The 14040-nt window shown below is 38.1% G+C and overlaps 1 protein-coding gene across 6 annotated transcripts in view; it reads right to left on the reverse strand.

Annotated features, from left to right (window-relative positions):
* The window catches only part of C12orf42 (chromosome 12 open reading frame 42), a 516167-nt gene that overhangs the window by 150932 nt on the left and 351195 nt on the right, over positions 1-14040 (reverse strand). For 3 of the 6 annotated variants that reach the window (NR_170332.1, NR_170337.1, XM_047428807.1), the window contains one exon: positions 2278-3334. The exons of the other annotated variants lie outside the window; for them this stretch is intronic. Coding sequence is in view for 1 of the 3 variants with exons in the window: in XM_047428807.1 (XP_047284763.1) it covers positions 3322-3334 (13 nt within the window). In the remaining 2 variants the exon portion in view is untranslated. Of the gene's footprint in view, positions 1-2277; positions 3335-14040 lie in introns of those variants that run through there. 6 annotated transcript variants of the gene reach the window in all.

The raw sequence follows: 14040 nt of genomic DNA on the forward strand, positions 1-14040 counted from the left end.
CCAAACGATCTGGGCTCTGCACAGGCTGTAGTCCTGTCACTGCTGACTCTGCAAGCAGCTCTGCCTTCCAGCTCAAATGTCCATGGGGTTCATGGGGCCCCCTGCAGCTAGGATTCCTGAGGTCTGTGGCAAGAGTGTGCTACTCCACACCTGCTTAACTCACCCCTTCCCTGAGATTTGCTCAGGACCAGGGACAAGTCCCTGTGTTTAGCAATCCCATGCAGGGTTCCTAGCTTCCTCCCCCATGATCCCAGGATCTGCATCTTCCCTCCATCCACTCTCAATGCCTTCCTTCCAAGGATTTACTCAGAATGTGCCAGTCTTCTTGATGGTCTGGTCTCTAGGTGGGGGCAGCTCTTCCTGGCTGCTTCTAGTCAGCCATCTTGCTGCTCCAATAGCAATTTTTAGAGATACAGAAAAATAATATTAGAAGACCCCAAATAGCCATAGGAATTTTGAGCAATATGAATGAAGCTGGAAACATCACACTACCTGATTTCAAAATATATTATAAAACTACAGTAATCAAAACAGTGTGGTTCTGGTGGCAAAACAGACATATAAACCAATGGGACAGAATAGAGACCACAGGAATAAATCCAGGCATATATGGTCAACTGATGTTTCACAACAGTACCAAGAATACATAATGGTGAAAGAATAGTTTCTTTAATAAAGTGTTGGAAAAGCTGGATATCCACATTCAAAGGAATGAAATTGAACCCTCAACTCACACCAGACCTAAAAATCAACTCAAAATGAATTATAATAATAATTCATTATAAACACAATATTTGAAACCACATAATTCCTGAAAATAAGCATAAGGGAAACCTTTTGGACACTGATGTTGGCAATAATTTTTTTGGATATGACACAAAAAACACAGGCAATATAGGTAAAATTAGATAAGTCAACCTAAAAGTCTTCCTCACAGCCAAGAATACAGTCAACAAAATGAGAAGGCGACTGACAGAATGGGGGAAAATATTTGTAAACCACATATTTGATAAAGGGTTAATACCCAAAATAGGTAAAGAACTTCTATAACTCAATAGCAAAAAAACAAATAACCTAATGTTAAAATAGGCAAAGAAACCATTAATAAACAAACATTTCTCTGAAGAAGACACACAATTGAACACCAGGTGTATAAAAAGTTGCTCAGAATCAGTAATAATCAGAGAAATATAAATCAAAAACACAATGAGGTACCAACTCACACCTGTTAGGATGGCTTTTGTTTCTAAATCTTTCCATTTAGAAAATGGAAGATAAATACTGGTGAAAATTTGGAGAAAAAGGAACCCTTTTACAATGTTAATGGGTATGTGAATTGGTACAGCCAATTCAGAAAACGGTTTGGAGGTCCCCAGAAAACTAAAAGTGGAACAACCGTATGATCCAGGAATTTCATTCTTGAGTATGGATGCAAACACATTGAAATCAGGATCTGGAAGAGATATTTGCACTCCCATGTTCATTGCAGTTTTATTCACAATAGCAAAGATATGGAAACAGTCTAAATGTCCATTAACAGATGAATGGAAAAAAAAATACGGTATACACATATGTGGAATATTAATCAGGCTTAAAAAAGAAGAAAACCCTGCTTATTTGAAACAAAATGGGTGAACTTAGAGGACATTATGCTAAATGAAATAAGCCAGACACAGAAGGGCAAATACTACATGACACCCCTTATATGATAAATCTGGATTAGTCAAACGCTTAGAAGTAGAAAGTGGAATGGTGGTTGCCAGTGACTGGGGAAACAGGGAAGCAGAGAGGTATTAGTCAAAAGGCATAAAGTTTCAGTTATACAACTTAATCAAATTACAGAGATTTACTGTATATTATAGCACCTAAAGTTAACAATACTGTATTGCATATATGCCATAAAAGGGTATATATTATATTGTGTTCTAATCACACAAAAAATAATAAATAAGAGCAGGAGGAAACTTTTAGAGGTGATGGATAGTTTAATGGCATAGATTGAGGTGATGGCTTCGCAGGTGTGTACTCAGCTCCAAATTCATCAAGTTGTACACATTAATTATGTATGTTGAATTTGAAAAAAAGAATGAAATTATTTAATGCAGTAAACATTCTCAATAACATCCTTACAATAAGTATAATTAGTTTTGTATGCCTGTTTGTTTTTCAATAACTTCTCTTAGTGGAAGTGGAAGACATTACAACTAAATATAACTAAGTTTTAGGTTGGTGCAAAAGTAATTGCAGTTTTAGACCAAGAATTTTAAATCATTATAATTAGGCTCAAACACATCTTTATTCATCAAAATAGGAACAATTACAATCAACACATTTTTGCCAATGAGAAATAAGCTTGTTTATTTCTGTATCATAAAAATCTGTGCTTTGGGATTTGATGATCTCTTGGAAAGCAATTTCTGCATCCTGCTGGTTATGGAAGCATTTTCCCTGCAAAAAGTTGTCAAGGTGCTTGAAGAAGTGGTAGTCAGTTGGCGAGAGGTCAGGTGAATACGGCAGATGAGGCAAAACTTCATAAGCTAATTTATTCAATTTTTGAAGCATTAGCTGTGTGACATGCCATCAGGCATTGTTATGGAGAAAAATTGGGCCCTTTCTGCTGACCAATGCTGGCTGCCAGTATTGAAGTTTTTGGTGCATCTCATTGATTTGCTGAGCATACTTTTCAGATGTAACGGTTTTGCTGGGATTCAGAAAGCCGTAGTGGATCAGAGTGGCAGCAGACCACCAAACAGTGACCATGACCATTTTTTGGTGCAAGTTTGGCTTTGTGAAGTGCTTGCTTTGGAGCTTCTTCTCCATCCAACCGCTGAGCTGGGCATTGTCGGATATCCTATAAAATCCACTTTTCATCTCAAATCACAATGCGATCAAGAAATGGTTCATTGTTGTTGCATAGAATAAGAGAAGACAACACTTCAAAATGAAAATTAAAAAAAAAAGTTTTGCTCAGCTCATGAGGCACCCACTTATTGAGATTTTTCACCCTTCCAATTTGCTTCAAATGCTGAATGACCATAGAATGGTCAAGGTTGAGTTCTTCAGCAACTCCTCACGTAGTTGTAAGAGGATCAGCTTCGATAATTGCTCTCAATTGGCCGTTGTCAACTTCTGATGGCCAGCCACTATGCTTCTCATCTTCAAGCCTCTCATCTCCTTTGCAAAACTTCTTGAACCACCACTGCACTGTATGTTTATTAGTAGTTCCTGGGCCAAATGCGTTGATGTTGTGAGTTGTCTTCACTGCTTTATGACCCATTTTGAAGTTGAATAAGAAAATCACTCGTTTGCTTTTTGTTAACATCATTTGCATAGTCTAAAATAAATATAAAATAAGCAAGTAATAAGTAATTAGCCAAAAAAAAGCAAGAAATGTGCATCAAAATGATGTATAACATTACCACATTTATTTAAGAATGTATTCTAATATCAAACGGCAAACTTCAACAATGCAAACACCTAGTAACCTAGTAACTCTACCAGGGCCAGCAACCACAGACTCTGGGAATCCAGCTTTCTGTAGCCCTGGATTAATCCATCAAAATGCTTGTTTCTCTAAACCTACGATTTCCTGTGGAGTACTGGAAGGATCCCAGTGATCTCTAGAACTTGCCAAGGCTGGCAAGAATCAGGACGAGTAAAGGTGGATCTGTGTCCCAGAGTTCCATTCCATTTACAGTATCTTCTTGGATCTGTTTACATACTTCACTTGAAATAAAGTATTTTGCTAAAGAGTCCAAACAAAGGCCTTTTGAGACCCATTTACTCAGGGAAAAGAATGGGTCTACCCATTCTTCAGATGAATCTCTACAAATACTTCTTCTTTCCAAGATTTTCTAAGTGTAGAGGGACAAGGATTTGAGATCATACACCCTGAAAATACCTGGAAAGGAGTTAGTATATCTCCACTTAACAGAAGACCATTGAGTGTTAACAGTTGAGTCTAACTGGAAAATCTGGAAAGAATAAACTGTGTATGCTTGCCTCAGCTCATCCATTTTTCCCTTTTGGAGAAGCTGCCACAGGAAGTTTTCTGCTTTTCTGTGCCGTAAGTCTTATTCTAGTTACCGTTTTCCTGACTCCAATATAAGGAGCATTGCTTCTGTCTGGTGGACAAATCTGTCTCCTTCTAGGGCTCAGGCAGCAAGCTTTTTTGTCTCAAGCTAAGTGACTTCCTTCAACTTAGCTTTCACTGGTAATATGGGACAAATAGTAAAGACCCTGCATTGACATAGTAAGTGGTGAGGGGGCCAAACAATTCAGCTGTTGGATTTTCAGTCAGTTTATTGTGAGATTGATGGACTAATCAGGTACACCTGTATAGCTAGCTGGTATTTCGATTTGTCATCTAAATTTGTCCTAGCACCTGGTTATGGTGTTCCAATTTGTGATCTAAATCTATTCTGGCACTACACCATTGAGGATGACTGACTCAAGATTTTGTGCCTGACTAGGACTTGAAGGGTAGTGGCAGCAACTTCAGGCTCTCCCAGATATTTGATATTTGTTTTGTCATACTGATACAGGGATATTGGGCCAGGAGAATACCAGGGATATGGAGACCCACCTTTCACTTCCCCATTTGTCAAGATGTGGTTGTCTGAAGTTTCCTCACCTAGCTTTGCCCTTCCCTCTGTGTCACTCATCCCCTGCAACTTGAGAGAGGGAGCTGGATGGGGGATTGCCCCTGATCCCCAATCCCGTGATTTCATAGGGCATGTTATCACAGGATTTTTGTCATAGTTCCTTTAGTGTTTTGTTTTATTTTTTCAATTTTGATCAAAACCTATGCAGTGAAAAAGAATAATGTTTACTGGACCCAGGCAAAGGTTGCTAGGAAAATGTTGATTTTGAGTGTTTATTGAAGCCAAGTGGGTTAACCTATCAAAACTTGGAGACTTGAGGATTTAAAGCTCATAATTACTTTAAAAAAATGTCCACTCTGGGTTAATTAATTAAAAGCTATGGGTTGTTGACATCTTTACTTGAGACAGAAATGGAAATTTAACTTTTCAGATGGGAGCTCCTCCTGGCACAAGGACACACAGATAAGACATCACTAATAGGAATACTGCAGTACAATGACAGATTGGGTTTCCCAAACATAAGAGCATGACAATTCCCCTTTTGTGGCCAGTCACTAAATAGTACCAAGTATCTAGCTAGCAACAAAAGGAGAGGTGTTGTTGCTTGATATCAGAGACTCTCAACTTTGGGTTACAGCACAGATATGTGTAACCAAACGTCTACTGAAAAATTGAGATGTAATGCTAGGAAAGATGAGCACCCAACATTTTAGGCCAGAGAATGGCAAAGATGTAAAGGAGAAGAGCAGAAATTTATTTTTGATAGGAAGGACATTATTGAAGGAAAAGCCCAGCCCCAGGACCAGGTTACTTTCCCCTATAAGCTCCAGCTTCTATGATGATAAAATCATTTCTTCAGCTGGCAAAACCAGCAAGATGTACAAGTCAAACTCCCACTATGCAGGCACAGCTTCAATCTCCACCATCTTAAATTTGCGCCTACATTCTTGGCCCTGGGAGATGCACAGGGGAAAAGGAAATTCACAGTTTGAAATACGTCAGGGTCAAATAACCTTGCTAATAGCCAATGAGATGGCTTTAAGGAACTGCTGGGAGTCATTGCCCTAAGTGACATAGTTCTTAAAAGGTTATGGACAGACCCTAAAACTTTCAACTTCTTTAAAAAATCCCATTACAAAACCATCAGTCCATTAACTCATTTAAACCCTTTTCATTTTTCCAGCTTGTACATGACAGATTTTCTTTTCTGCCTCCTGCTGAGTTAATTTTTTTTCCTCAACTACTGAAATGATCATGTCTACTGAAAAGAGATTGCAACTTTGAAAAATCAGTTGAATTTGAATTTGTACATTTTTATATCTTTGCAGGTCTCTTTTGTTTAAATAACTAGTTCCATATCCATGTGTATTCAATGGTCAAAATGAAAAGAACCTGAAGTTAAAATGAAGGTAAATTTATCTTGCAAAGCAAATCATTTCTCTTTCCAGACACTCAAAATGCTTTTTTAGGAAAAATAGCACAAGATATCGTCTCATCACACAATTGAATGAGATAGTATATTTCACTGTATCTGTATATTTCAAGGTATATGAATCCAAACTACTTATGCAAACTGAAGGTCACAGCATTTCACAAGACAAAAATAATTTATAAATTTTGATTACCTTAAAATTAAAAACTTTTGGGACATGAAGAAGAAGATGAAAAGGCAGCCATAAAGTAGAATAAAATATTTGTAATATTGACCTATTTACAATATTGATACATCTAAAATATATAAAGATCTTATTTAATTCACTAGGAAAAAGAGAAAGTTAAAAAAAGGGCAAAAACAGCCTCCTCTACAAAAAGGAAATCTTAACAAATAACAAATATATTTGAAAAGATGCTCAAACTGACTAGTCACCAGGGAAGTGGAAGATAACACCATAATGAGACATGGCTCAATAGCTACCATATGGCTACATTAAAAACAAGCAAACAACAAAAAAGATGACAATCAAAAATAGTAAGTGTTGATGAGGCTGTGGAACAATGGGAACAAAAACACTATTCGTTGGAAAATAAGCTGTTCGATGTTATCTTGGAAAGTTGAAAGTATGTATAGCCCGAGTACTAGTTCGTTTTCACACTGCTAATAAAGACATACCCAAACCTGGGAAATTTATAAAGGAAAGAGTTTTAGTGGACTCACAGTTCCACATGCCTGGGGAAGACTCACAATCATGGCAGAAAGTGAAGGAAGAGAAAGTCACATCTTACATGGTGGCAGGCAAGAGAGCATGTGCAGGGGAACTCCCCTTTATAAAGCCATCAGATCTCATGAGACCTATTCACTATCATGAAAACAGCACTGGAAAAACTTGCCCCCATGATTCAATTACCTCCTGCTGGGTCCTTCTCAAGACTTGTAGGGATTATGGGAGCTACAATTCAAGATGAGATTTGGGTGGGGGCACAGCAAAACCATATTAGCCCGTATCTCAGCAGTGCCACACCTGCTTATCTACCTGAGACACACACATGTACATATGCACCAAGAGACATTTATAGCAGTATTCATAGCAGAATTATGTATACAGCCAAAGGCAGGAAGCAGTCCAATGTCTCTATAGTACAATGGGTGAATTGGGGTATAATCATAAAATAGAATACAATGCTGACATGAAAATGAATGTGTATTACAACCACAGGCAACAGTGTTGAATCTTAAAAATACAATGTTGAGTAAAACAAACCAGATGTTTAAAACATACATAAGAGGCATATGTAAGCGTTCAAATTAAAAAGTATATAAAAGAAGGAGCTATAATAGTTCTGTGAATACTGTGGTTCCAGGATTCCCTCTTGACATCCCATGTTCCCTTCTCAGCCGCTGAGAATATTCTCTGCTGATGGTTCACACCTGAGTGACAAACTGGGAATTACTCTTGGCCACGGGGAACTTCTTCACTCAAGGCCACACCCTCTATCAGGGTTTGCCTAGTGACTAGGGTTTAGTGCCTAGTGATTGGCTGATGTGGGAATATAAAGATCCAGCACTCAACGCCAAAGGGCTAGCCCAAATCAAAGAACCTATGTGGTACTGACACAGCCACTGATGGAACCACTGTGAACTGGCTTCTTCCTCTACTCCTCTTGCCTTCCTAATGTTCTTACAGGTATTTCTCTCAAGAATATCCCCAGTAAATCCTCTGCCTGCAATTTCCAACTTAGAGTCTGTTTGCAGGAAGCTCTAAGCCAGCCTTTACTGGTTATCTTTGCAGAAAAATGAGGGAGCTATTACTGGGAAGGGACACTTTGGGGCTCCTGGAATATTGGCAATGTTCTATATTTTGAGTGGTAGTTGCATAAGTGTTATCTCTATAATACATTAATCTTTTTTGGACCTTTTCTATATTACACACACACACACACACACACACATGATTAAAAAGTGACTTTCATTCCTCACAGAGAAACTAACAAACTTAATTAATTAATTAACTTAAGAGATGGGGTCTCACTGTCTCGCCCAAGCTAGAGTACAGTGGCAGAATCAGAGCTTACTATTTTTAATTTAAATAAAGTGTAAGTCATATTTGAAAACAGTTTCTCCTAGGTTCACTGATTTTTTCCTTCTTTTTCCACAACTACTACTCTGCTGTGATACATACGTTTCATCCAGCCAAGTGAGAATTTCATATTCACCATCCATAATATGATGGTCTTGGAACGTTCTCTGCACTGGAGCACCTCCAGCCGATCTTCCCGGCTAGAACTGCTGCCTTACAGTGCCACTGAATGGAATCAGAGCTCTCTCACATTACAGATAGGGAAACTGAGTGCTGCTAGAGATTATGTCACTGTGCCTCCAACCAGTTCTGTTTCCCTCTTGTGGAATTCTTATCTCTCCCCACCCCAAGGATGAAAAGGTAGCTCTGTGGCATGCTTTCATTAAGGAAATGCGACATGTGCCTCCTGTAAGCAGAGGTTTAAGAGTCAGTGCATGATTTGTCATGTCCCTCTGCCATTAGAGAAGTAATATCCCAGACAGAGGTTGCTCCCTCCACCTGAGTGCAGGCAAATGGCAGAGAGCACAGCTGACCCAGATAGAAATATAGCATGATTAACCAAAATTTTGTGTTATGAACCACTGAAAATTTAGGGTTCTTTGTTACCAAGACGTAACTCAGACTATGCTGACTGATACAGAGCCCTAACAGGGGATCCTGATACCCAAGCACCACACAGAAATATTTGAGTAACTGCCCAGATTCTCATGCAATATGCTTTTCAGAAGCCACGTTGCCTTCTTTCCTTTGTAGTTTAAAATGCGTGCGCACACACGTGCGCGCGCACAGATGTGCTCACATTCATGGACATAATGAGCCACTGCTGATAAACAGACATCACTTCCAAGTTAAGCTTTTCTGGATAAAAGAGAAAATAAAACCCAGAAGGAGAAAAATGTATATAATATGACAGCCATGGATTTGATCTTGCTGGAAAACGACTCTGCTTTGAAAAACTCATTGTAGCCCCTCTGCAACCAAGCTGAGAAATTTTGATTAAACCACATTTCTTGCCCCGACACCTGAAAATTGCCAGTGACTGCTATCTAAATCCAGAGATTTTCATCTGGGCCTATCACTTAAAACAGTTCCTTGGCATATCTGATCCATCTTCTTGAAGATCCGTTGTTCTCTACCACCACCACAACATAAAAAGGCTAAGAAAAGAGAAAGATTTTCATCACCAGTGCTTACAGGCAAGCTTAATGGAGTACAAGAGAAAGGCTCATGGGCTTCATTTTTAACTTGCTTGAACTCCCTGTGACAGCTGGCAAAAACTTGATCAAATCAAATCTTCAGATGCTGTGACTCTACCACGTCAGGCCAGAATGGAAAAGCTTTTGTTTCAGCCGAATCCAGGCCTTATCACCTCATTCTGCCACTCACACTTCCTCAGTCCACCCACAAATCCTCCAGGATTTATTGCAGATGTAGCAAGCTTGCTGGAAATAATGGTACAAGCAAAGAGGCTAGTCGGCTATCGACTCCAAGCTCTGGGTAATACCAATGGGAAATTATTTGCACAAAAGGTGCGCTGGGGTGACAAATGAAGAGGGGCTGGCCCATTGAAGATGCTGGGACTTAGACAAAGCTAACACACTAATACCAAGCCACTAGCTTTATCTGATTACTTCTGGGGCTGATGGCTCCCCACACGGCCCCCCTTTAGATCTCCCCACCCACCCACACTCTTGCGTAAAAGACACAGGTTGCTTTCTTTGGTGTGCAGTGTACCGTGAAATGGTAATCTAGAGAATTACTACATTTATATAAACCACAAAGTTTTGAGCCCCACAAAAACAATTTTCAGATCGACAATAAATTGTTTTTACACTGTTGACTAAAGAAAAATGTAACAGAGGAAGCGTTACATTATGACAAAGGGAATTAAGACTGATTTTTGCCCAGAAAGAGCAATTTTTTGGCATTATCTTAGAAAAATTTTTCTTGGACTCTGGTCAGACTTGATTTAGAAAAACATGCAGAACAATAGCAATTCCATTCTTCACCCATATTTTTGTAAAAGAAAATGTGTTATTATTTCCCCCACTTTAATCTTTGAGTAGGCTTGTGTTTTAGGGTAACTTCTTGCATTCATTTTTGTTATTTTTGCTCAGTTTGCTCTCACTCTAAGCAGGTGCAATGCTAAATTCTGTGTGATGTAAAATGAGCTTAGTGTTCCTCATTATAAAAGCCCTCAGCTCTTAAAGTGAGAAAGACTTATCCTCATGAACAGTTTCTTCCTTTTTCTAATCTCCTCATTTTCACAGAAACAAAGTCGAATTCTTTTTTATCAGTGTCCTGATTAACTCTTAATGTCTTAAACCAATTTCATCAAAAAACTTCCCTTCACAGTGCTTCTCCTCAAGTTTGGTAAAAGCACAGTAGAATGAATAAACAATCAAATTTGAGCATCATTAATGCAACTCCAATGTGGTTTGGGAGTGAGGTGTTACCAGCAGAACACGAATATCAATTTCAGAAAAAAAAAGAAAATTTTTCTTCAGAATGTACTCTTAACATCTGTATTTATATAATGATGTAACTTAAATAATGTGTAATGAGGCATATTTGAATAGAAAGTTGTTTACCTCACTCACAAAGATTCCCTCAAATGTCAATAGTTTCCAGTTCATTGATTATATTAGGTGAGAAATACATACGTCTTAATTGTAACATGGTTGAGGAGACACAACAGAGAACAAAATAGACTCCTGCTTTGGTGTTTAAAATATACACAATTAATTAGAAAGCTGTGTAAGTCAGCACCTTTTCAGCAAAGTTTCCTTCTCTGATTGCTCTTTGTTAATGTGTGTTACACATTCCTTGAAGTATAATATTAATAAAAGGTGATTTGCAAACCAAGAAAATTCTACCAGTGTCATCTATTCTAAAATGCCCTTGGTCTGACTCATACTCACACAACGGCCAGCGCTGAGACACAGAATTAGGACCGTTTTCAAAGGAGAGGTCTCAAAGGCAATCCTTGGGGAAACTCACTCCTAAAATTATCTCCCAGCAGATTCGAGAGTCTCAATCTTTCAGCTTTTCCCTTGATGATCCCTCCGCCTTGCTCTTCCTCATTGTGCATGGCCAGTCAAGCCTTCCAGTCTGGCTTGAACTTTCTATTCAGTACCCACACGTCTATGTATACGGTGGAAAGGAGTGTTTTCTCCATGTTGATTTTCAGTTTGTATCCTCCAAATTCTTTCTTAATGCAATTAAATTTTGCTTTGATCAAAGAACCACACACACATAGTTTAATAAGATAAATGGAATAAATGTGTTTAAACAAAACCTGGAAATCTCCTGCCTTATTGTTCTCAGTCCACTCTTTAAAGACAGCCCTTTCCTGGCATCTTAGCTGTTTCTTCCATACTTTTTTTTTTTTAAGTGTCTTCTACTATGTGAATTTTAGACATTTTCTATTGTGTTTCTAAAGTGAAAGATGGTAATTTTCCACTTTTATGTTCCTCCTGCCTATTTTCCTCTCACATTATTCCAAATTATAATTCTATCACAATTTTTGGTTAAATAGATATGAGATATTTACATTGTTGTGTCTAGGTAAATGTTCTTTCCTGAGTCAAGTTGTGAAACAATTCTATTTTTCTGTTTGCCTAAACTTTATCTTGAAGCAATCATTTCATTTTTCCATTTCCAAATTTTTTTATATTTCTATAATTATAATTCTTCCCAAACTCACCACTGAACTATAAATCGCTTCCTAATATTCTTTCCCACACAGTTAGATACGTACATTTTCTACCACTTGCCTCTCTCCTCACCTGGAGGCTGCTTCCTTTTTCACTCTGTGGGGCCATCATCAGGGGACTTCTCATTGCTATTGCCTGAGAAAGCCTGTTGCCCCTTTGCCTCTTTTATGGGCTATATTGCATTTCATGAACACTGTTCTTCTGCTACCATTGGTAATATCCTCATCTTGGTGTAACACCCTCTATTTCTTTTTTTTTTTTTTTTTTTTGCTTTTAGTTTTCTTTTATTAATTGTTTATGTAACTTAGACTGCTCATGATCAATAAAACATACAGGAAGTTACAAGACCTTTTTCCATGACTATCACTAATTCAGTCAGGGTATTAGTAGTGAAGAAGAAAACACAATCTCAATATAAGCAAATATACCTAGTATCCAACAAAATAAGCTCTCAGCTGGGTGTGGTGGCATGTGCCTGTAGTCCCAGGTACTTGCGAGGATGAAGCAGGAGGATCGCTTGAGCCCAGGAGTTCGAGTAGGCAGAGCTATGATCGCACCACATCCAGCCCGGATGACAAAGCGAGACTCCATCTTGTAAAATCTCCTGCTGGAGCTCTCCACCCTTTTTCCATCTGGATTGATTGTTCTTTAGTCTCAGCAAGCAGTGATCATTCTGTAGATTCCCTACAGCTCTTTGTTGGCTGGATTATTGTTTCCTGAGTTCTCTTTCTGGGTTTTCTCTCTTGCTTTTTTGGAGCATATCCTACAACACCCTCTATTTCTAACAGAAGGTATACAGAAAGCTTTTTTGTGCATGTGGAGATTTTGTTTATCTAAACATCTTTAAAAACTAATGCAACCTCTGGTGGCACTTCCTCTTCTTATAAGGCCACCAATCCTATCTAATTAGGACCTCATCATTAGGACCTCATTTAACCTTTATTACTTCCTAAAAGCCCTATCCAAAAACAGTCATGTTGGGAGTTAAGGCTTCAACATATAAACTTTAGAGGAATCCCATTCAGCAGCCTGAGCCTGTTACTACTAAGATTAAGTTATGAAAACTGTGGCTTCCATCTTAGGTTTTGTCTCTCAAATCACTTGCTGTGAGAGAAGCCAGCTGCCAGGCAACTTACGAAGCTGGCCAGGTGCTAAGGAATGAAGGCATCCAGCCAACATCCAGAGAGAAACTGAGTCCTGACACCAACCATGAGAGTGAGCAGGAAGGTCAGTTCTCCAGCCTTGAGAATCACAAGGCTAAGGCTGGGGAAGTCAACCTGATTGCAATCTAGTGAAAGACCCAGCTAAATCATTCAGAACAACCAGCTAAATCATTCCTAGATTCCCGGCTCTCAGAAACAGTGGGAAACAGTAAATGCTTATTTTAAGCTACTATGTTCTGGAATAATGGTACACAGTAATAGATAACTAATACACAGTGGCACTTGTCAGATATATATGTTGCAAATATTTTTCTCAGTCCCTTTTGCTCCCTCAACATTATTGTTTGAAAGCATTTTTTTAAATTTTAAGGTACATTTTATAATTTTTTCTTTCATAAAGAGTACATTTAGTGTCCTATATAAGAAACTTTGCCTAAACAAAATTTTATCTTAAGTTTTCTTCTAGAACTTTAACAGTTGTAGCTCTTATAATATTTGATTCATTTTGAACTAAATATTGTACATAGTGTGAGATAAGGTTTAATATTTATTACCTATATTTTTTCTTTCCACAAAGATAACCATGTGTTACCTTTTTAAAACATAACTTCAATATTCTTATTACCCACCAAAATTAATAATTATTCCTTAATATAATTATTCTTTAATATCATCAAATACCTGGTCAATGTTGATATTTGATTGTCTTATACATGTGTTTCTCCTTTTCACAGTTTGTTTATTCAAATTGGGATCAAAAGGAGGTCCATAAAATGCAGTTAACTAATGTATTTGTTTCCTCTTTTCATTTAGATGTTTTCCTTTTATGTTTTTTGTTTAACGTTGTTGAAGAAACAGGTTATTTGTTCTTTAGTGTCTCAAATAGTTTGAGTTTTGCTAACTACATCTCTCTGGTGGTGTTGAATGTGTTCCTCAGTTCCCTATATGTTTAGTGAATTTGTTGACCAGACTCAGGTTCAGATTTTGGGGGGAGGGCAAAACTATTTCATGGATAGTGTTGGGTATATCCATCAGCAGGCAC

The sequence above is a fragment of the Homo sapiens genome, chromosome 12 (assembly GCF_000001405.40).
Source record: "Homo sapiens chromosome 12, GRCh38.p14 Primary Assembly".
NCBI lineage: Eukaryota > Metazoa > Chordata > Mammalia > Primates > Hominidae > Homo > Homo sapiens.